At 40.3% G+C, this 25,182-nt stretch overlaps 1 long non-coding RNA gene and 1 pseudogene across 1 annotated transcript; one reads left to right on the forward strand and one right to left on the reverse strand.

The window, feature by feature from the left end:
• Positions 1-994: 994 nt before the first annotated feature.
• Positions 995-23,808, reverse strand: LOC124903324 (uncharacterized). Its single transcript, XR_007064192.1, has 2 exons — positions 22,951-23,808; positions 995-1,607 (listed from the first exon to the last, which is right to left on the reverse strand). It is a non-coding gene; the product is annotated as an uncharacterized LOC124903324 (long non-coding RNA).
• On the forward strand, positions 8,605-10,458 carry LOC440180 (zinc finger CCHC-type containing 7 pseudogene; annotated as a pseudogene).
• Positions 23,809-25,182: the final 1,374 nt, after the last annotated feature.

Here is a 25,182-nt window from a genome sequence, read left to right on the forward strand (position 1 = left end):
CACCATATGGTCCTAATAGAGCTGTCAATCATAATGATTCTCATTATGTCCAATTCTTCAGCCACAGTGATTGTTCATGGGGCTAACAAACTAGCTGTGCCAACCTTGCATGAAATTGCCTATATGGATGTTAACAAAGAGGTTTTTCTTCTCTTATTTTCATAAACTATAAGGATATCAGTTTAGGTTAGCCAGAGCCATCTTTCTAGCCATTTCCAGTAAGTCCGTTTTGTTTTTTTCAGCAGAAGTACATGAGATTGACAGAAAAGAGGAGAAACTAGCAGAAGAGAGAGTTGGAGAGAGTGTGAGTGAAGGTCTTGGTGCTTGGCGCTTCACCTGGACTACTAAATCCAGCTGTGCTGGTGTTCTTCCAGTTCCATATGCCAGTCACCTCCTTTTCTTCTAAAGCTCATTTGAGCTGGCCTTCAGTCAGTTGCAACAAGTGATTTCTTTTTTTTTTTTCTTTTACTTTTTGTGTTTTTAGAGACAGGGTTCCAGTCTGTCACCCATGCTGGAGTGCAGTGGAGTGATCAAAGCTCACTGTAACATCAAGTTCCTGGGCTCAAGTGATCCTCCCAACTCAGCCTTACAATGGTAATAATTTGAAGGTGGCGTCTGCCACCATGCTCGGCTAATTTATGCATTTTTAGTAGAGACGGAGTTTCACCATGTTGGTCAGGCTGGTCTTGAACTCCTGACCTCAGGTGATCCACCCGCCTTGGCCTCCCACTGGGATTACAGGCATGAGCCACTGTGCTGGGATTACAGGCGTGAGCCACTGTGCCCGGCCAAGCTGTCCTAAAATGTTAAGACCTACATAACATCATCAAGCAAATAAATTTAAAACAGCCTGGTTACTGATATTCTCTCTTCTGAATTCAGAAATTCTATTTTAACTATTTTTAAATATAAATGTAAAACTAGAGTATATTCACATATTCCTTTAAATGTTAAATTCCCTCAAAATAGAAGAACTAGTCAAAACAGCACAAGAAACAGATAAATAAAAACTTTAATACATATATGGAGGAGTCTTCAGTACATATGGTGACATGTCTTATTCAGTGTCAAAGCCAGTTGCAGTGGAAAATTGTATTTAATTTTCTATTCACTACATTAAAATTGCACAGTCTGAGAGATTATGGCCAAATAATTTTTACTAACATAATTTTTCCAGAAATGGGAAAAAGAGTGTTTTTACTGTAAAGCTCTAAGATTTCTTTTTTAATTCAATAAGCTATTTAGGCTTCCATGTAGAAAGCTTATGTATTTAATTTGGGGTACTTAGGCAAAAGCCATCTCTCTTCTTCTTCAGAGAGAGAAAACACATCATCTAGACTAGGCTTCTTAATGATTCCTTTTTATTGCCCTCCATTGAAAGTCACAGCCAGACACACAAATATGTAAGAGGCAAGTGAATAATTGCCTATGTTTTTCAGATCATAAACTAAACCAGTTCTGAAATTTGGGCATATTCCCTTAAATAGAAAGCTGACCACCCTGGGAATAATAAACTTGGTGACAGGGCTTTCTTTTCTCCTCCTCCTCCTTCTAATTTTCTTTAATGTGAATCGATGAAGAGCTGTTGGCATTCAAGTTCCGTGGGGCTGTGAGGTTGACAAAACAGAAAACCGTTATGAGACAGAAGGCAGAAAATATGAGAAAGGGAGAAAAATTCTCCTAGGATAATCAATGACCAGATTTGTTGATCGTTAGCTGATTTTAAAAAGCAGTTTCTGTTCAGATACAAGGTTTGTTCCATGTTGGAAAGGCTGTGTTTTCAGTGGTAGTAGCTATGTGTGTGATTGGTGGTAAGGGTGAGAGGTGGGGATTTACATAATGAGAGGCATACGTCTTCATGTTCCCAGTTTCTATTAGTCTCTATTTTAATTGGGCCATGTACTATATGCTAATGTTTTCATCAAGTGCCTTGGTGGGTGTTCAAGTGGTTTCCAGGTGGAGGTTTCTCCTAAAGGACATGAAAAACCAGTGAACAGAAGAATTTGTCTTAATATATCCAGAAGTTTTCTGCAAGATCAAATTCCTGGAGCTGATTCTTAAACAGTGGTCAAATCTACCACCCAATCGGCGAGTAAACATGCTCTCTGCCATCAACTAGGATTCAAAGAAGAAACAAAAAAACTAGGCTATTCATTATAGTTTTGTTTGATTCATTCAAAAACTATTTTAAATTGGTCGTGTCACTGGAACCCAAGAATGCAACTAATGGAGTCAAGTAAATTATTGGACCATTGGAAAGAAGCACTAAACCATGCCCATTCCTTGATTCCCACTGTAGCACAGTGCAAGACATGCTTTATCCCACAGTATGCGAGTTGGGATTTAATTGTTTCTTTCTTGTGTTCATAAAAGACCAAAGAACCAATCCTACTGTGGTAATGTGGCAAAAAAGTACCTCCTAAAGCATGAAATGGCAATTGACAGTGGATATAAACTTGGATTCTATTGATAATAGTAGCTAACTTTTCGGAGAACTCACAACCTGTCAGGCACAGCATTAGGCAGTTTGCTTGGATTATGTAATATCAGATTAGTGGAAAAAGAAAACTGAGCAATGTTTTGTTTATAAGAAAAAAATCTAAAAGTAACGTTTTAATGAGAGAAAAGGCAGGTTCAGGGTGAAGGAGGGGAATTTTGCTTTTGAGCTGTGTGTGCTGCATGTAAGACGACAATCTAGGCAGAAATGAGTTGTATGAGTCTTGAGCTCCGAAGAGAGATTTGGGTGAGAGATGTATATTTATTTGTGCTTACAGGAGGAGGAGAGGAAATCAGAATACAGAGGAACACGTACATTTAAGGAGTGGGCAAAGACATGGAGAGAAACTAGGAGACTGTGGCGTCATACAGGCTGGTACCAGGTAGCATTTTAAGAAGGACACGAATAGAGACAATTAAAAAGACAGTTTATAGAGGAGATGTGATAGTCACAAACATACACAGCAAATAACTTTGCAACCGAATATGTAAAAAGAGCTTGTAGAAATGCAAAAACCTAATAAAATTATAGTTGTAATTTTTAAAACATCTCTTCCAGAAGTAGAAAGATTCACTACACAGAAAGATAAGCAAGGACATAGAGGAATGGAATAATATAACAATAAAGTAGATTAATAAAATCAAATGTAATTTCAATCCTACTGATATAGAGTGTGAATTTTTGTAGGACTATAAATAGTACAAATATTGATGATATATACATTTGACTACAAAGAAAACCCTTAAAAAACATTAAAACATAGAACACTCACAGGCCACAAACAAAATTAGAAGTAAGTAATAAAATGTTGACAAAAAACATTTTGGAAGCTAAGAAACACTCTCTTAACCCCAGCATCAAAGAGAAATTTAAAATTGAAATTATATGCTATCTAGAAAGCATGGAAAGGGGAAAGATTCACATTGAATATTTTATATTAAAACAGTTTAATTTATAGTCAGAGAAAAATGTATAGCCTCAAATTCCTTCATGTTTAAAGAAAATAAAAAATAAAATAATTTAGACCCATTGTTATGGGCTGAATTACATCTTCCCCAAAATTCACATGTTGAAATCCTAACCCTCAGAATCTCAGAAAGTAACTGCGTTTGGAAATAGGGCCTTTAAAGAGGTAATTAAGGTAAAATGAGCTCCCATGGTGGGCCTAATCCAATATGACTAGTGTTCTTATAAGAAGAGGAGATTAGGATGCACACAACACACAGACCAAGGGATGACACCATGTGAGGACACAGCACAGAGGCAACCATCTGGAAGCCAAGGAGAATCCTCAGAAGAAACCAAACATGCTGACCCTTTGATCTTGGACTCTAGCATCCGTAACTCTGAGAAAATAAATTTCTGTTGTTTAAGCCTTCTCTCATCGCAGCTCTAGCAAATGAATATGCCCATCTTAAGAATTAGTAAAAGAGGGCAGTCACAGTGGCTCATGCCTGTAATACCAGCACTTTGGGAGGCCGAGGCAGGTGGATCACTTGAGGTCAGGAGTTTGAGACCAGCCTGGCCAACATGGTGAAATCTCGTCTCTACTAAAAATAAAATAAATAAATAAATAAATAAAATTAGCTGGCCATAGTGGTGGGCATCTGTAGTCCCTGAAGCATAGGGTGTCTGGAAAACTTTACTTTTTGAGCCAGAATAAGGAGCTTTACCATTACTAGACCCTTCTGTAAAACAATGAAAACGCTTAGCAGGCTGCAGATTGTTTACCACAGGAATTGTAAATGCAAACTGTTCAGTCTTGCTCAGCTAAGGGGATAGTAAAGAAACAGTCTTTTAAATCTATGACTATTAAAGTCCAATTTTTTGGAATTATAGCAGGAGAAGACAATCCTGGCTGTAATGCTCCCATAGGTTGTATAACTGAATTGATGGCTCTTGAGCCAGTTAACATTCTCCATTTACCTGATTTTTTCTTAATTACGAAAACTGGAGAATTCCAAAGGGAAAATGTTGGAGCTATGTGCCCGTTTTCTAACTGTTCACTAACTAATTTCTCTAAAGCCTCCAGTTTCTCTTTATTTAGTGGCCATTGTTCTATCCAAATTGGCTTATCTGTTAACCATTTTAAAGGTATAGGTTCTGGAGGCTTAACAATGGCCACCATCAAAAATGATATCCTAATCTTTGGCGGGAACTTTTTAAACCTTGCAAATTTTTTTCCAGTCCCATACCAGGGACATACCCCATTTCATGCATCATATGTTGACTTTGAGGGCTATATAATTGTTCTGGAATTAGAACTTGTGCTCCCCATTGTTGTTCAGGTGTTCAAGACCAGCCTGGGCAACATGGTGAAACCCAGCCTCTACTAAAAACACAAAAATTAGCTGGATGTGATGGTGCACACCTGTAATCCCACCTACTCAGGAGGCTGAGGCAGGAGAATGGTGTGAACCCGGGAGGCGGAGCTTGCAGTGAGCCAAGATCGCACCACTGCACTCCAGCCTGGGCGACAGAGTGAGACTCGGTCTCAAAAAAAAAAAAAAAAAAAAAAGATACACAAATAAATGCCCAAAGTAATTAGCTACCTAAGAAATGTAATTTAAAATCACAGTGAGATGGAACTATATATCCACTAGAATTCACTAAAATTGAAAATACTGAGAATGCCAAGGATATACAATAATTGGAAATCTTGTACGGTGACAGTGAAAATGTAAAATAGCACAACAACTTTGGAAAACTTTTGACAGTTTTTTAAAAATTTAAAGAAGCCCCTACTATATGACTAAACAATTCTAATCCTAAATATTAACTGATGAAAAAAGAAATATATGTCTAATGAAAGAATTGTACACTAATGCTTATGACAGCTTTATTATGAATAGCAAAAACTGGAAACAGCCCAAGTGTCCATAACTAGGTGAAGAGATAAGCAAAATGTGGTAAATCCATGTAATTGACTTCTACTCATCAATGAAAATAAACTATTGAAACATTTAAAAAAACCTGATAAATCTCAAAATAATTATGCTAAAAAAGCCAGGCACAGAAGTGATTTTACATATTATTCCATTTTTATAAAATTATAGAAAATGCCAAATAATTTATAGGGACAGAGAGCAAATTTGTCCCAAATCTACAGGGACAGGGTTTGGGGGAGAAGAAAATAATGAATTACCCAGTGACATGAAGAAACCTTTGAGGGTGATTAAAATGTTGTGAAATACGAGAATTTCAGGAATAAAGAGAAGCTTCTAAAAACTCATAGAAAAAAAGCAGAAGGGCTATAAAGGATCAAGAATTGGGAGAACATCAGAACACTCAATCATAATGACTCAAATCAAAATGATGTCAAACCTAGAATGTTATAACAAATTACCTTAATTATCAATTATGAGGAGTTACAAGAAGCGGTTTTTGGTTTTTGTTTGTTTGTTTTTTGAGGCAAAGTCTCACTCTGTAGCCCAGGCTGGAGTGCAGTGTGCGATCTCAGGTCACTGTAACCTCTGCCTCCCGAGTTCAAGAGATTCTCATGCTTCAGCCTCCAAGTAGCTGGAATTACAGGCACCCGCCACCACACCCAGCTAATTTTTGCCCTCCCAACGTGCTGGGATTTCAGGCATGAGCCACTGAACCTGGCCAAGAAGCATATTTTTATTTCATCATTCATGCCTACTTCCTCAGAAAGCTACTGGAAAATGTACTCCTTCGAAATGAGTTTAAGCCAAATGAGAGTAAGACATGAGATCCAGGTAAGAGGAGCTAAAAACAGGTTAAAAAGCAACAGAATTCCCAGGAAGATCATGAAGCAGACTCACAAAACAACAGTAGTATGGCAGATCATGGAGAAAGAAGGGATCTAGGAGGATGCTTTCCAGGGGAAAAAAATGAATTCATAGATTATTCTATACACCTGGTTACATTGAGAAGCGATTTACAGTTCTGCCAGAGAGTTTGAATAAGAATTAGTATTAAGTACCTGGGGAAGAAAAACAAGCAAAGAAAAAATGAAGCAATTATTAAGCCTAGGAAGTTTTATAATAAGGAAGTAAGACAAAAAGTTTTACAAAAATAGGAAGTAAAGTCCTAGTACACTAAGGAAGTATGAATAATATTTGCATAGTCAAAATAATGTAACCAAAATAATAAAAGTTGAGATATACCTACATTGGTGGAAGAAAGAGGAAGTGTGTGTTTGGGGTGTGGGTAGCTGTAGAAGAGCTAAATATTCCTCTGAACTACTAGGACGTCATTGAAATTGACTGATGGTGTCCACAATTGAAATTTTAAAACTAGTTGTATTAGTATGTACTTTAGAGATATGGATGTAAATGACAGAAGAAAGAGCCAAAAAAATATAGAGCAGTTGCTGCTGGGGAACAGGTCCCATGAATAGGGAAGGGTGGGGCAATTTCTATTTTTCTCTGTAAGTGTTTATAGTATAATTTGACTGTATTTTGATCATGAGAGTGACAGGATGTTACTGATATTTTTTGAAGTCTTCACTGCCAGTTCTGTGAAAAGGGAAAGAACAGAAATAGGGAGAATCTTTAGAAGGTATAATAGGACAGGAAGAAGATGACAATGCTTGGTCTAGGTTGGAGCACCAGAGATGGTAAGAAGTGGTGGAATTAGAGATATATTTGTTGATAATAAAGTTGATAGAACTTGCTAATCTACTGAATATGGAGAGTGAGGGAAAAGGGAGCCGTGAACGATTCCTAGGTTTCTCACTCAAGCAGGTAGTTATGAATGGTAGAGTCATTTATTAAAATGGAGAAAGTCTAAGAACTAAATGTGACAGAGGAATCCATACTTCTGTTTTGGACATGTTGAGTTTGAGAAAGTGATTAAAGGCAAGGACTCTGGATGAAATGGCTTGAGTTTGAATCCCAGATTCACTGCCTACTAGCTGTGTGACCCTGAGTAAGTCATTTAACCTCTCTGTGTGTCATTTTCCTATTCTGTGAAATACAATAGAAATAATAATTTGTCTGCTTCGTAAAGCTGTTGTAAGAATCAAACTGTTAATTAATTGGTAGGGATCATTGTGTGATTCACTGATTTATTCCAAGCTCCTAGAACAGTGCCTGGAAGAGAGTGGGTGCTTAATAAATACTGCTGAATGAATGAATGGATGTCTATTACACATTTGAGAGGAGAGGTTGAATAGATAGATATATAGACATACAACTCTGGAAATTAGAGCCAGACATAAGTTGGGAGTCATCAGTAAATAGATATTTAAGTTAAGAAAGAAGTTATAATATAAGGAAAGTTCTTCAGATCTTAAAACTTACACAGCTGCAACATTTATGTGTATTACTAGTATAGGTACTGTCTGAAAGATCATTGTTACAGAAAAGATAGTAAAGAAACTAATGCAATAAAAGCGTATCAGGCTGGCACGGTGGCTTACACCTGTAATCCCAGCACTTTGGGAGGCCAAAGTGGGTGGGTCATTTGAGGTCAGGAGTTTGAAACCAGCCTGGCCAACATGGTGAAACCCAGTCTCTACTAAAAATACAAAAATTAGCCAGGCGTGATGATGGGCACCTGTCATCCCAGCTACTCAGGAGGCTGAGGCAGGAGAATCGCTTGAGCCCAGGAGGCCGAGGTTGCGGTGAGCAGAGATCGCACCACTGCACTCCAGCCTGGGCGACAGAGCGAAATTCCAAAAAAAAAAAAAAAAAAAAAGAAAGAAAGAAAGAGCATATCAGTTGGAGTAGATTATTCAAACAAACAATGGAGGTTGGGAAAATGAGAATATGCGGGGGATGGACAGTGGTGGTGGAATCCAATCAGATCTTTATGTTAAATGATGGACAAAAAATTCAACATAGGCGAAGGAATTGAAAGTAAAATATGAAAACAAAACCCCAAAATTGTTGAAGGAATTATGGGCAAATATTTACACTGATCTTGAGATGGGGAAGGACTTATTAAATGTTAACGCCATGGAACAAATCACAAAGAAGAATAATAGATACTATTTTTAATAGATGACATAAACATTTAAAACTTCAGAACATTAAAAAGTCATAAATAAAATTTTTAAAATGACAAACTGGCAAAATATATTTGAAATATAATGGATAAATGATGAATATTACATCATTATAATTTATTAAGAAAAGTAGGTTTGCAGCTGCAGCACATCAAAGTTACCGATTTTTTATGATGTTTGGTGGCTATGAGACTATAGAAGCATATGAAGATGATCTTTATAGGGACGAGTTATCTAGTGAACTGAGTGTTGATAGTGAGGTGGAATTTCAACTCTATAGCCGAATTTATTATGCCCAAGATCTTGATGATGTCATCAGGGAGGAAGAACATGAAAAAAAGAACTCTGGGAATTTGGAATCTTCGAGTAGTAAACCAAATCAGAAGAAGCTAATTGTCCTTTCAGATAGTGAGGTCATCCAGCTGTCAGATGGGTCAGAGGTCATCACTGTCTGATGAAGATAGTATTTATAGATGTAAAGGAAAGAATGTTAGAGCTCAAGCACAAGAAAATACCCATGGTCCTTCTGCTTTTCTTCAATCTAATGAGCTGTTTGATAAGAAATGCAAGAGTGATATTGAAGAGAGATCAGGTGTAATCCAAGAGGCCATGATTATAGAGGTCAGTTCAAGTGCAGAGGAAGAGAGCACCATTTCAGAAGGCAATAATGTGGAAAGCTGGATGCTACTGGGATGTGAAATAGATGATAAAGATAATGATATCCTTCTCAACCTTCTGGGATGTGAAAACTCTGTTACTGAAGGAGAAGATGGTATAAACTGGTTCATCAGTGACAAAGACATTGAGGCCCAGATAGCTAATAACCAATAACCTGGAAGATGGACCCAGCGATATTATTCAGCCAATGAAAACATTATCTGTAGAAATTGTGACAAACACGGCCATTTATCAAAAAACTGTCCCTTACCATGAAAAGTTCGTTGCTGCTTCCTGTGCTCCTGGAGAGGACACCTCCTGTATTCCTGTCCAGCCCCCCTTTGCAAATACTGTCCTGTGCCTAAGATGTTGGACCACTCATGTCTTTTCAGACATTCTTGGGATAAACAGTGTGACCAATGTCATATGCTAGGCCACTATACAGATGCTTGCACAGAAATCTGGAGGCAATATCACCTCACGACCAAACCCAGACCACCCAAAAAGCCAAAGACCCTTCAAAACCATCAGCCTTAGCATATTGCTGTCACTGCATGCAAAAGGCCATTATGGACACAAGTGTCCAGAAAGAGAAGTGTATGACCTGTCTCCAGTATCTCCATTCATCTGCTACTATGATGACAAATATGAAGTTAAGGAGAGAAAAAAGAGAGTAAAATAAAAAATAAAAGTACTCAAGAAGAGTGGGGATATCCCAGAGCCATCCAAGCTACCTTACATAAAAGCAGCAAATGAGAACCCCCATCATGATATAAAGAAGGGCTGTGCCTCATTAAAAAGCAACAGGTGGCCTCAAGAAAATAAAGAAACACAAAAAGAAATGAAGAATAAGAATAGAAAACTGGGAGAAGCACAGGAAGGCTGACAGACATCGTGAAGTGGATGAGGATTTTCCCTGGGGCCCCAAAACCTACTCTTCTCCTGGCAGTTTTAAAACCCAGAAGCCTTCCAAGCTCCAAGCCCTTTCATCATTCATCGCATTGCCATATATCGAGAGAAGACAAGTCTCCCAAGGAGGGTAAGAAGGGCAAGAGAAGAAAAAGGAGAGATGCTTGGAAGATGATGACAATGATAACTTATTTCTTATTAAGGAGAGGAAAAAAAAGTCTTAAACTGTCAGGCAGCCTCTAATGTGGCTTTCCGTTGTTCATTTGGCCTTTGTGTCCATAACCTTCTGGCAATGTGTTTATTATCTGTGATTAAATAAAGTCAGTTTGGGTTTTGCATTTTTAATTTCAGCCATTCCTAGAGTTGCTGGACATCCATGGAGATCTCAATTATCTATGTCCAACAGGTTATTAGGTAAGAAAGTAGAAAGATAAACCTGGACTTCTCCTGTTCCAATATGTCATCTTTACTCAGAATCCTAGGGCTAGGAAGAAGAACTCATCTTTTCAAGAAAGCTTTTTAAAAATCCTTTGGAAAAAAAACCGCATCAAAGGTAATTCATCCTCAGCATGAGTATGAAATTAAATCCTTGTAGGAAGAGAAATTAACACTAAGAAAAAGTCTTCAGTATTTTTCAACTTTTTTTTTTACATTGAAAAGGACAATAACTATAAATTTACATCCAGCTTTTCTCGCTGCTGAAGTTGTTATCAGAATCTTCCTTTGGACAAAACATCACAAGCTGACTGTAAAAACAAAAGCGCCATCATTGAAGCCCTGAAGAGGCAGGGAATTGGGCTTCAGCAAAATACAGGTAAAGAATCCATCCGGTATAAATATCAGAAGACAGATTTCCTAAAACAAGTGAAAGAGACATCAAAAATTTTAACATAATCACAATGAAATCATTTTTTACCACTTTTACAGTGATGTTTGAAGTGGACTGTCACTCAGATCTGTAGAGATGACTATTACTCAAAAAATTGTTTTGTTCTCTTGTATGTTTTTAACTACCACAAAGCTATATAGAATTTTTGGTACTTGTGGATCTTTTGTACTTCTCATACCCTAATGTCAGAATAAGAAAAATAAAATATCAAATAGGAAAAAAAAGTATTAGCACACTGATAAAAGAATTGACAGAATAAATAAATGGAAAATTCATAGAAGAAAAATACAAATAAATAACAAACATACGAATAACTTTAGTCTCTAGCAATTAATCAAAAACATATAACTGGGCAGAAAAATTTTTTGTATCAAATTAGCAAAAACTATAAAAATTATAATATTCAGTGTTACCAAAGATGTAGAGAAATTAGTACTCACAACACATTTTAGATGGGAAAACTCTCCAGTAGGAGTCTTGAAAATAAATATCAAAAGCTTAAATTTTTTTAGCATCTTTCATTCCAAGGTTTCATTTTTAGGAAAATTAAAATATGCCATTAAAAGTAATGATGTCAATCTGGTATTTTTTAATATGAAAAGATGTCCAAAATAGATTACTAAGAGCAAAAAGGGTTCAAAACAGAGTATACTGTGGTTCCTGTTTTGTTCCAATATGCTGTCTGAAAGAAAGATCAAAATGAATACATTGAAACCATAGAAATGATTATCTTTTGGTGGAAAAATTGGGGGTGATTTTATTTCAAATTTATACTTTACATATGCCAAATTTTCTGTAGTGGACACATTTCCTAATTATAAAACATTTCAGTTATAAATTCAATATAGTACTATGTAGGATATTTCTATTAGAAAAGTTTACTAAGATAGTTTGAGATTCAAAATAATGGTTGATGAAATGTAATATTATAATTGAAATTCATTCATGATAAAAAAATGGATCTATGAAAAGATCATCAAAGAATATGGAAGCCATGAGGTGAAAAATTGATGGGGAATGTTGTAATTGATATATCAGTTTGGCAACACCTGGGCCCCTGGATTAGTTTTAGCACCACTAAAAGTAGAACAATCAGACATTAAGACATTATGTGTCTTGCACTGTGATACAATAGGATGTACCTGGCACTACCAATGAATATTCTTGAAGAAAGAAAGACAGGAAGGAAGGAAGGAAGGAGGGAAGGAAGGAAAGAGGGAAGGAAGGAAAGGAAGGAAAGGAAGGAAGGAAGAAAGGAAGGAAGGAAGGAAGGAAGGAAGGAAGGAAGGAAGGAAGGAAGGAAGGAAGGAAGGGGGAACCTAAATGGATGTCCAGCAACTCTAGGAATGGCTGAAATTAAAAATGCAAAACCCAAACTGACTTTATTTAATCATAAATAATAAACACATTGCCAGAAGGTTATGGACGCAAAGGCCAAATGAACAACGGAAAGCCACATTAGAGGCTGCCTGACAGTTTAAGACTTTTTTTTCCTCTCCTTAATAAGAAATAAGTTATCATTGTCATCATCTTCCAAGCATCTCTCCTTTTTCTTCTCTTGCCCTTCTTACCCTCCTTGGGAGACTTGTCTTCTCTTGATATATGGTAATGCGATGAATGATGAAAGGGCTTGGAAGGCTTCTGGGTTTTAAAACTGCCAGGAGAAGAGTAGGTTTTGGGGCCCCAGGGAAAATCCTCATCCACTTCACGATGTCTGTCAGCCTTCCTGTGCTTCTCCCAGTTTTCTATTCTTGTTCTTCATTTCTTTTTGTGTTTTCTTTATTTTGCTGGGATTACAGGCGTGAGCCTGCGCCCGGTTGAATCAGGAGCATTTGTAAGGCTGCATTCCTCTTCCAGGATACTGCATGTCTAAATCCAACAAGATGTTCTTTGAGATCTCTGAATTGGGAGGCTGTAAGCTAACCTCGCATTTTCTGTTACACAACTAGCTCAGCACACTTGCTCTGCACCTTTGCTGCCCACTAGAATAAAAGTGTCATGAGGATAGGGCCCAGGCTTGTCAGAGTCACCCTCATGACCCCACCCCCTGCTACAATGCCTGGCACATAGTAAGTGCTCAATGAATACTATTTGACTAATTGATGTAGTACCTTTTTGTTACAAAATGATTTCCCAATCCCCTCTACCCTATTCTTAATATAAAGATTTGTGTTTTTTTACTGAGAAATGGCAAATAAAGGCTTTGGACCCCCTGAAGATTAAATACTAAAATCCCCATAACAATTTTTTTGGTGGTGTTCTTATGGGACTGCATGAATTCGAAGGACGTTTATAATGCCTCATAATGCTCTAGGAAGTGAGCCAAGAACTCCACCATCACTAGGAGTTTCAAAACCTTGAGAACTTTTCTCCCGGTGTGTTTAAGAGTATGCAGGCTCATTCTGCGCAAGAAATGTACTGGCTTACGTTGACATTTTTGTCTTTCCCTACCTCCCCACTAAGTACCACGGCAGTTTCTTTTCAGGGTCATACACGATTCCAGCAGCCTTTTTGGTGAGTGGAAGATAGCCCTACATGCTTCCCCCAGCTCACACGGCTCTAATAAGAGACAATCCCCGCAACACAGTACAGTTTCCCAGCAGGATAAAAACTAGTTTCTAAAAGGTAATATTTCTCTCTTGAGAAAGCATAGTTTGTAACTCTGGCACTATCAAATTTCCAGGTCATCTTTGCTTGCTGGGAAAAAGAATCCTTATGAAGAGAAGTTGCTCCCTGGAGGGAGAAGAAGGCAACAATTGCCCCCTGAACCGACCCAGTGTCCTGGAAGGATGGCTACAATGGACCCCAGGGAGGCCGCCAAGCTGTTGGTCAAAGGAGGCATGGGTGACCATAGAAGGGAAGATCCCTTAAATGGAATGACTTGCGTGGCCCCTCAGGAAAGCTCTCACAAACCGACCAACGCGGTCACCAACCATGCTCTGATCATTTTCAAGTTGTTGAAGTTGCTCAGCGGATTAATAGGATATTGCACTGGCTTTCTCAAATGCACACACACAGAATCACTTAATGCCATTTTCAAGGACAAAAAAAAAAAAGAGAGAGAGAGAGAGAGAGATCCAAAAGCCCTGCAAGTGAATAGAAAATAATAACAGCATAAAACAGACCCATCCTCCTCACCACCAAGCAGCGCTCCCCCACCAACCAAACAGCCAGCTCATGTCTCCTGTCTGTCCAGCAGGGAGAACACGTGATCTCCCACGGCATCTGCCTTGTACACTGTAAACCCTCTTCTGTCCCATTTCTTCTTCGTTGGGTCACCTCAGAAATAGAGAAGGGGGCTGTGCTAAGGAAAGTCCAGCTGAAAGTGCACACCCAATTTCCAGCCTCATTCTAGGCCAGAGAACACAACAAGGCAACTTCTTTGTGACCTCTGGAGTTTACCTTAATTTTTCAAAAGTCTAACTAGATCTAGTAAAGGGAGGGGGAAAAAAGTACTTGATGTAGAATTGCCTCCTGGATGCCTGATTCAGGTAGAGGTTTACAACATAATTATTTGGTCATATTTACCTAATGTCTTACCTGCTCTATTATCTGTTTTTTCAGATGTGTGCTGTTTTTGATTTTTAATTGCTCTTATTTACCAAATGTCTTATTCATTATATTATCTGGTTTTTCAGATGTGTCCCCTTTTTTATTTCACTGTAAAGAGAGCCTGGCCTAGCACAACTGGCGACTCGCTTAGTAACCCAAGAACTGTCAAGCACCCTGTCCAGGTTGAGCTCAGAGATTTCATAGCTGTGACTGATGTTTCTTTTTATCTTATAAAAAGCAATGCTTTTTATAAGAACTAAATAGCTTGGCTTCAAAGGGAAAGTTTAAATACTGACAATTTTTGTGTAGCAAATGCCTTCAAATGTTCAAAAAGATTGTTTCTAAGGTATCCCCATCATTTTCTAAAAACAAACAAGCAAACACACAAACCTTCAGGATCTTTTGTAATTTAAAGAAGTTACATTAGTGCTTACATTTCCAAAAATACCCATATGGATAAATATAGTCTAGTGTGTCCATGGGAAAAGTTAACAAGGGAAACATATTTCCAAAAAATACAAAGTCAGTGACAGACTGAATGAATATAATATACTTGATAGTGTTTTGGATGTTCTATTTTATGTCTTGCCATTCTTTTTTTTTCACTCAAATACTAGACAGAAAAAATATTTTGGTATTTCTATTCTCTTCTAAGAAAGTCTAGGCTGCTTTACTTGCGGCCAAGCACAAAGTTAACTAGAATCCTTTAATAATATAGCTCACTGTATAGATTCAGATAAGCTATGGGAAAAATCATGTCCAACAAAAGATCATAACGACATAGAGAAAATACCTGTAGCAGAGCATATTCCTGTTTTTCTTTTTCTATCCAAACCAATGTTTAGAAGGAAGTGCATTATGTTCCCTCTTAAAGATTTTCCTTTCCTTCCTTTCCTTTCTTTTCCTTTTCCCTCTTAAAGCTTTTCTTCCTATCCTTTGTTTGACCGACGACATTATTCCTTGAGTTTTAATCAGCACTCACAAACTATATATACTGTCTCAGTCAGTTCAGTCAGTGTAATGCCATAGACTAGTTGGCTTAGCAAACATTTATTTCTCACAGTTCTGAAGCTGGAAGTCCAAGTCCAACATCAGACTGCCAGCCTATGCCCCTACACGGCCTTCCTTGGTGCATGCATATAGGGGAAGTCATAGCTTTTCTTCTCTTTTTAAAAAATTTTTATTGTGGCTGGGTATAGTGGCTCATGTCTTATAATGCCAGCACTTTGGGAGTCTGAGGTGGGAGGATCACTTGAGCTCAGGAGTTCAAGACTAGCCTGGGCAACACAGTGAGACCCATCTTTACAAAATATTTTTAAAAATTAGCTGGGCGTGGTGACATGTGCCTGTGGTCCCAGCTACTAGAGAGACTGAAGCAGAAGGATCTCTTGAGCCTGGGAGGCTGAAGCTTCAATAAGCCACGATTGAGCCACTACACTCTAGCCTGGGCAACAGAGCAAGACTCCATCTCAAAAAATAAACATGAAAGAGTATCATCTTTTTAATTGACAAATAATGATTGCATCTATTTATGGAGTAAATGTGATGTTTTGATACATGAATACATTGTGGCAGGATGTATATTCAAATCAGGCTAATTAACACATCTATCACCTCAAATATTTATCATTCCTTTGTGGTAAGAACATTTAACATTTTCTCTTTTAGCTATTTTGAAATATACAATACATTATTATTAACTATACTCTTTATGCTGCTCAATAGAACACAAGAATTTAGTCCTCCTATCTAACTGAAACTTTGTACTCTTTTCCTCTTTTTATAACTACATTAACCCATCATGAGGACTTTACCCTCAGGAACTCATCTTACCCTGATTACCTCCCAAAGGCCTGACTTCCAAATACCATCACATTGGAGGCTAGGGTTTCAACATATGAATTGGAGGGGGCTGGACATAAACATCCAGCCCATAGCATATACAATCAGTTTATAGGTCCTTACAGTATAGATTCGTTAGGCTATTTTATGAACTCTCAACTATAAGTTCTCTGTGTGTGTATGTGTGTGTGTATCCAAATTACCAAAGGGTTCTTTTAAATTTCTCTGTCTCAAAACTATTTAAGAACTGACTGTTCTTGCAGCCACAACTATTAAGAAATAGCTTCATACATCCAATTTAACAAGGTGATGGTCTATGTGGTTATATTACATATTACAGGTGGATCATAAACTATTCTAAGGGTTTAAAATTTTTTCTTTTAACTTTGAGGCCTGACGTAACCCAGGAGGACCCACAGAAACCAGATGTCTACACACTCTCACATGTTCATATTTAACTCACTTCAACAAATATTCACTGAGGCTAGGTCCTGGGGTTCAAAGATGAGTAGGACACAGTTCTTCTTCAAAAAGCTCATAATCTGGGCAGAAATCAGTAAACAGATAGCCAACTGTTTTTTAATGTAATAAGTATACAGCTATCAATATGAAAGAAAGGATCTGTGGGTACACGAGAAAAATTGATCCCCGGAAAATGTGTGGCAAGATGGTGGGTTTGCTTTATCCATTGCTTCCCAATATTCAGCTTTACCGCTGGGTGGGATTGTGAGGAACTGACCACCCCCGCGGGGAGGGGGTAAGTTCCAGGGTAGGTTCCACAGGTAAGTCCCCATAAGTATAAGCCCTTCTGCACAAACCAAGACCTTTTCAAATGATTAGTTAAAAAATGGACTTTGTCTACTAGGGACTGATTCAAGGAACCTAATTTGGTCCAGCCAGAGGGAAATCTGGGACTTATGTTTGAAAGATGCCCTATCTCTCCCACTCCAATTTCTTTCTATTATGAGACTTCTTAGTCTCTTTTTCCAGTCCACCCTTCTCCCAGACCTTTCAGTGTCTGAGGGATCCATGGCTCAGTCTTTGGTCTTCTTTTCTGCTCCTTGGTGATTCCTTCAGTCTTGCGACTTTAATATTATGTGTCTGCTTTCAAATCTGAAATAGATATTGCCCGTCTAGATTTCTTTTCCAAATGCAGACTCCTAGAGCCCTCTACTCACTTAACAGCTACCCCAGGATGTCTAACAGGCTTCTAAAATTTAACGTGTCCAAAACTCAAGTCTGGATCTTCCTCCCAAACCTGTTCCTACCCACAGCCTTCCCCATCTCAGATAGTGGCTTAGGCAGAAATGCTTGGAGTGATTCTTGACTCTTCTGTCCTCTCTTTCATCCAGTCTGTCAACAAATCCTGTTAGCACTACGTTCAAACTTTTCCAAAATCCTACCATGTCTATCACCTCCACAGCAACCACCCCAGCCCAGCCACTATCACCTCTTCCCTGGATTATTGAAAGAGCCTCCTGAGTGGTTTCTCAGATACCACTCTCACTCCCCTACAGTCCCTTTTCAACACAGCAGCCAGAGAGATCCTCTTACACTTGGAGTTGTATCATTTACTCTTGGGCTCAATGCCCTGCTGATGAAAAGCCCTTGCCCTGGGCTCATAAATTTGGGCCTCTATTGCTTCCCTGATCTAATCTCCCACTACTACTCCTTCACTCATTCCACCCCAGCTACACTGGCCTCCCTGGCTGTTCAGACGTGCTGGATGCTCCTGTCTGGGACCTTTGTGCTGGTTGTTTCCTCTGGCTGCAATACCCTTCCCACAGCTATTCATGCATCTCACTCTGTCATATCCTCATGTCTGCTCAAATGCCACTTTCTTGGTGAAGCCTTTCTTGACCACCGTCTATAAATTGCAACTGACCCCTTCTTATGTTATCAATCTTCTGTACTCTGAACTGTTTTTCTTTTTTCATTGACTTTATCATCATTAAACATACTGTATTAGTCTGTTCTCATGCTGCTAATAAAGACATACCTGAGACTGGGTAATTTATAAAGAAAAGAGGTTTAATGGACTTACAGTTCCACATGGCTGGGGATGCCTCACCATCACGGTAGAAGGCAAAGGAGGAGCAAAGTCACATCTTGCATGGCGGCAGGCAAGAGAGTGCCTGTGTAGGGGTACTCCCTTTATAAAACCATCAGATCTCGTGAGACTTATTCGCTGTCATGAGAACAGCATGGGAAAGACCTGTCCCCATGATTCAGTTACCTCCCACCAGGTCTCTCTCACAACATGTGGGAATTATGGGAGAGATTTGGGTGGGGACACAGCCAAACCATGTCACATACTATGATTTTATGTATGTGTCTATATATATATGTATATACATTTTTACAGGATATCTTTCCCCATTTGAACATATGCTCCACAAGGACATGAATCTTTATTTTTAGACATGGGGTCTTGCCAAGTTGCCCAGGTTGGCCTTAAATTCCTGGGCTCAAGCAATCTTCTTGCCTTAGCCTCCCAAGAAGCTGGGACTACAGGTGCATGCCACCACACCCAGCATCAAGGACAAGAATCTTTGTCTGTTTTATTTTACTGCTATATCTCAAGGGCCTAGAAAAGTTCTTGGCATGTAGTAGGTGCTCAATAAATATTTGTGGAATAAACTTAAAAAACTTGGAAGTCAATCTGAGGGCAAATCTAAGACACATAGGAAAAAATTATGAGAACTGGATCTAAAGCCTTGATCAAATCATGCCTGAAGCAGACATTATTGCTGGACTTTTTCAGTAGCCTAAATCCACTATTGAATTTTACTTTTTAAGCCAGTCTGGGTTCTTTTTTCTGTTAATTACTAGCAAAGGCATCCTAAAAGATACTTAAGGTAAAGGAAATTTCAGAGATCTCATATAAGGAGGACCCTAAAAGGCAGAAAGGAGTTCATACTCCTTCACAGCCATGCCGCTTTTTAAGTGGCCTGTGCTCCCTGTCTGCATTTTCTCATCAACTCTAAAAAGAATTCCACACCTACCCCTGCACTGAAACTGCAGTCACTCAGCTCATCAGGGACCTCCTGACTGCACATTGTTCAACTCTTCTCTTGTTTATCTTCCCCGTAGAATCTGTCTTCTCTGCAGGGTTGGTCCCACCCATTTCTCCTCCCATGCTTTCTGTTACTTCACTTTTTCCTGGATTTGCCATTTTCATTCTGGGAATTCCTTCATTCCTCCATGAAAAAGGCTGGACATCTCATGAAAGTTGGTGTTCCCAGGGCTATGTTCATGGACTACGTCGCCTCCTACCTGTAGCCTTTCCGAGAGCAAGCTCATCCATTCCCATAACTTCATCACATACAGACAATGCGCTGCAAATTCCCAATGTTCTATGGCGATCTCAGACCACAGCACTCACGGATTTCACAGACTAACAGACCTCTCCTCTTAGGTATCACACAGAAATCTAAATCTAAAACTCAAGAAATAGGATTTATTTATTCTAAAACAAATTCTGTTCCCATCTTGCCTATTTGAATGATCCCACTTGACCCTTCATCCTTTCTTTTCCTACTTCTGGTTGGTTCTCCAGCCATTTCTACTTTATTTATTTATTTTGAGACAGGGTCTTACTCTGTTGCCCAGGCTGGAGTGCACTGAGGTGATCTTGGCTCACTGCAACCTCCGCTTCCCGGGTTCAAGCCATTCTCCAGTCTCAGCCTCCTGAGTAGCTGGGATTACAGACACACACCACCAGGTCCGGCTAATTTTTGTATTTCTAGTAGAGACGGGGTTTCACCGTGTTGGCCAGGCTGGTCTCAAACTCCTGACCTCAAGTGATCTGCCCACCTTCACCTCCCAAAGTGCTGGGATTACAGGTATGAGCCACTGTGCCTGGCTACTTACTTATTTACAGACAGGGTCTGGCTCTGCCATCCAGGCTAGAGTGCAGTGGTGCAATCATAGCTACCCGTGGCTCAAGGGATCTTCCTGTCTCAGCTTCCTGAGTAGCTAGGACTACAGGAGACAGGGTCTTTGTATGTCGTCCAGGCTGGAGTGCAGTGGCACAATCATAGCTACTTCTGGCCTCAAGCAATCTTCCTTCCTCAGCCTCCCAAAGGGCTGGGATTACAGTTGTGAGCCACCACGCCCAGCTCCATTTCTATTTAAAATTGATCTCCCAACTTCAAGTACCAGTCTCTGCCTTTTTCCTGTGAATCCTTTCACTAACTGCTCCTTATCACTGAAGACGGTACCACACCTAAGGGAGATTTTGAAAATGGGGGGCAGTATTTTTGTTATCACAAAGATTGTGAAGCAGTGTGAGTGTTTGATAGCCAGGTTCCAGGGAGCTAGATGCCCTGTAGTACCTGGGGCACCCACATGTCTTTCACAACTCTCAGATGTCTTGCCAGTTACTAGTGTAGTGCTACCAAGCAATCACATATTGAAATAATTTTCTTTTCATTTCTTCTTTATAATTAGGCCTTAGGTTGACTTTTAAAATATTATGATTAAATAGGTTGTACTATCTATACGTTTTATTTTAGCATAATGAAAATGATGACATGACTTATTTGCTATAAAAGACAACACTCCGCAGATAAAGTCTAGAATCACCAATCAATACCACAAGTTGCCAACTGGTGGCTGACATACCTAATGTGATTCATGTGCATATTTTGTTTGATCTAGGGTTGCCAGCCAAGATACATTACACCCTGTTAAATTCCAATTTCAGATCAATGGCAAATCATACTTTAATATATCTCATGCAATAGTTGGAATATACTTAACACCAAGAAGCATTCATTGTTTATCTGATATTCGAATTTCACATGGCATCCTGTTCTTTTATTTGCTAAATCTGGCAATTCTAAGCTTCTTGTTTTTGTTTTTGGTTTTCAGTCAATTTTTAAAATCAGTAGATTTTTACATTAAGATTTGATCTCTGGATTTCTTTGAAAGAGCAGAAGGTCTAGATTTGACCTACATTCTTGCACGAAAACAGACAGCTGGAGTGAAGTGGGGGCTGCTCCTCTTAGACGGGGCCTGCTCACCACAGTTCACCACAGTCCCCTACACTGTATTCCACCCAACACTGTGACAAGTAAAGCACTGCCACTAATCTAAGTAATTTCTGTTATACTCTTACAGCTAAGAGGAAAGTGAAATATTTCTTTTAATCATTCATTGAATCTCTTAAAAATGAAAAAGTAAAAGACAAACCAATAGGCCCACGTTTCTTAAAAAATGGGAGGAATACATTTTTCTTTGAAGAAATGAAGAATTTTCCTATGTATTTTCTTACCCTGGACCAGCTTCACTCATAAGCTGGGAAACATTTAAGTCTGTGATGTCTTCCCTAAGCTATTTTCAGACTGGTATACCCAAAGCTGCAAATATGATTATGTCACTTTCCCGCTTAAGTAGAAAAACCCTTCAGTAGCTTTCCATTTTCTCAACTTAAACATCCAAAAATTTTTAACATGACCCAAAAGCCCCTCCCAGCTTCATTTGTTCCTCCTCTCACTTGCTGTCAATTAATCCACTTTCGAAAGTTTTAAATTAGTTTCAAATATTCACCAGTTCCCTCCTTCCTTCATGCACGTCTAGGAAAACCTCTTCCTCCTTCCCATCTTTCAAGTCCCAGCTAAGGAATTACCTCCTATGAGAAGTCATCATTCCCTGAACCTCGCTTCCCTACCTCCAAATCTGGGGTAGGTCTCCCCTGTGAGCTGTCATAACTTACACACTCCCACTGTATTATAATTGCCCTTTTACCTCTTTGTGTGCCCCACCAGACTGTAAGCTGAATGTTAGAGACCTGGATGTATTCACCTTTCTAGCTCCAGGGCCTGGTACATAAGTAGGAGCTTAATATATGTGGAATTGACAAACAAATTAACAAAGAAAGGGAATTTCAGGCAAAAGGAACAGCATGAGCGAAGGCACAGAAGTATGATGGTGCATGTGTGTGTTTGGGAGATAGCAAGAAGTTAGGTGGCTGGTGTTGTACATGGTGACATGGCATAAATCTGGAAAGGATGTGGTATCAGACTGTACGTGTTTTGGAAAACAGAGACTAAGGAGGATGAACTTTCCTTTGTAGGCAATACAAAGCCAAAGGTGGGTTTAAGTAGGAAAAACACATGAGCAGATGTATTAACATGTGGCAAAATTGATGATAAAACAGAAATTCCACATTTTCTCTTTCTTCTTTTCCTTAATTTTTCTCTCTAGCACTGATGAAATTGAGAAGATGGAGAGAGGGAATCTGGGAGAGAAGACAGTGTACAAATATTTAAAAACACAGGAGTTAGAGTCAGACATATGTGAGGTTTAAATTTTTGGCTTTGTGTGAATTTTCTTAACTCAATTTCCAACACTGTTTCCCCAGCTAGAGATGTTAGGATGAAGATAGAGTAACACCCTCTAACCTTCTTCAGGGGGTTGCAAATGGCTAACTTAAACAATGTGTGCAGATTGCCAAGCACAGAGTTTATATAAAATAAGTGTACAAAAAATGTTAGTTGCCTCGTGTAGTCCATGTGCAGGTCGCCTCCATGGGCTACTTCTGGGAGGAAAGCAAAGAAGAGAGAAAGTTGCAGTTGAAAATGGAGGGAACTGCTCCTGCTCAGAAGAGAACAAATTGATACTTACTGATGCCTCCTCCTCTCTGCCACCAATTCAGTAACATTACTTTTGCTTTCCTCCTACTTTAAATTGGCTCTCTAAAATAAGGATCGTCTTCAGGCAAAACTGTGGTGTGTAGACCTCACCAAGGATCTCTGCTCATAACTTCCTGGTCCCTGAGGCCATCATGAGTGATTCTGACCCAGGTGAGACACCCCTGGGGGGAAACAGTTCTCCTCTTGCCCCTGACTCCTGGGCAGTTGTTCCTCTGGCCTACTCTTTTCTGTGTCCTGTTCCCTCCAGTTCTACAGATGTGAGCGAATGCAAACCAACCAATTCATTCACAGTGAAGGGGACAGTGGATGGATGCGAGCCCCCTCTCCCATCCCAATGAAGGATTGTTGAGTCTCTCCGTAAGGAAATGAATGTTCTTGGGTTTTCAGACACCAGAGGGAGGTGTGAAGGGAATGTGTCCGGAATTGGTGGGTTCTTGGTCTCACTGATTTCAGGAATGAAGCCGCGGACCCTCGCGGTGAGTGTTAACAGCTCTTAAGGTGGCGCGCCTGGAGTCTGTCCCTTCTGATGTTCAGATGTGTTCGGAGTTTCTTCCTTCTGGTGGGTTCGTGGTCTCGCTGGCTCAGGAGTGAAGCTGCAGACCTTCGCGGTGAGTGTTACAGCTCTTAAGGTGGCGCGTCTGGAGTCGTTCGTTCCTCCTGGTGGGCTCGTGGTCTCACTGGGCTCAGGAGTGAAGCTGCAGATCTTCGCGGTGAGTGTTACAGTTCATAAAAGCAGCGTGGACCCAAAGAGTGAGCAGTAGCAAGATTTATTGCAAAGAGCAAAAGAACAAAGCTTCCACAGTGGTGAAGGGGACCCCAGCGGGTTGCCAATGCTGGCTTGGGCAGCCTGCTTTTATTCTCTTATCTGGCCCCACCCACATCCTGCTGATTGGTAGAGCTGAGTGGCCTGTTTTAACAGGGCGCTGATTGGTGCGTTTACAACCCTGAGCTAGATACAAAGGTTCTCCACGACCCCATCAGATTAGTTAGATACAGAGTTTCCACACACAGATTCTCCAAGGCCCCACCAGAGCAGCCAGATACAGAGTGTTGATTGGTGCATTCACAAACCTTGAGCTAAACACAGGGTGCTGATTGGTGTGTTTACAAACCTTGAGCTAGATACAGAGTGCCGATTGGTGTATTTACAATCCTTGAGCTAGACATAAAGGTTCTCCACGTCCTCACCAGAGCAGCTAGATAGAGTGTCGATTGGTGCACTCACAAACCTTGAGCTAAACACAGGGTGCTGATTGGTGTATTTACAATCCCTGAGCTAGATATAAAGACTCTCCACGTCCCCACCAGACTCAGGAGCCCAGCTGGCTTCACCTAGTGGATCCCGCACCGGGGCTGCAGGTGGAGCTGCCTGCCAGTCCTGCGCCGTGCGCTCGCATTCCTCAGCCCTTGGGTGGTTGATGGGACTGGGTGCCGTGGAGCAGGGGGTGGTGCTCGTCGGGGAGGCTCGGGCGCACAGGAGCCCATGGAGTGGGTGGGAGGCTCAGGCATGGCGGGCTGCAGGTCCCGAGCCCTGCCCCGTGGTAAGGCAGCTAAGGCCCGGCGAGAAATCGAGCGCAGCGCCGGTGGGTCAGCACTGCTGGGGGAATCAGTACACCCTCTGCAGCCACTGGCCCGGGTGCTAAGTCCCCCATTGCCCGGGGCCAGCAGGGCTGGCTGGCTGCTCCGAGTGCGGGGCCCACCAAGCCCACGCCCACCGGGAACTCCAGCTGGCCCGCAAGCGCCGCACGCAGCCCCGGTTCCCGCTCGTGCCTCTCCCTCCACACCTCCCTGCAAGCTGAGGGAGTGGGCTCCAGCCTTGGCCAGCCCAGAAAGGGGCTCCCACAGTGCAGTGGGGGGCTGAAGGGCTCCTCAAATGCCACCAAAGTGGGAGCCCAGGCAGGGGAGGTGCCGAGAGCAAGCGAGGGCTCTGAGGACTGCCAGCATGCTGTCACCTCTCAGAAACACAGGGAGCTGAAGTTTTCCAGGAGAGACCTTGGAGCTCAGAGCAGCTCTGCCTGTATTTGTTTTAACTTGGGAACTGCAAGATTTCCTTTAGTTCTGAAGATGGGAAAAAGAACGTCAAAAACCAGCAACCCGATTCAGACATTTTACACCAAAGGAAACTGAAGACCAGGGAGGTTACATGGCTTGAACAAGGCAACTCAGCAGCAGAATGAGGACCAGAACCCAGGTCCAGCTGACA

Source organism: Homo sapiens, chromosome 14, assembly GCF_000001405.40.
Source record: "Homo sapiens chromosome 14, GRCh38.p14 Primary Assembly".
NCBI classification, from domain to species: Eukaryota; Metazoa; Chordata; class Mammalia; order Primates; family Hominidae; genus Homo; species Homo sapiens.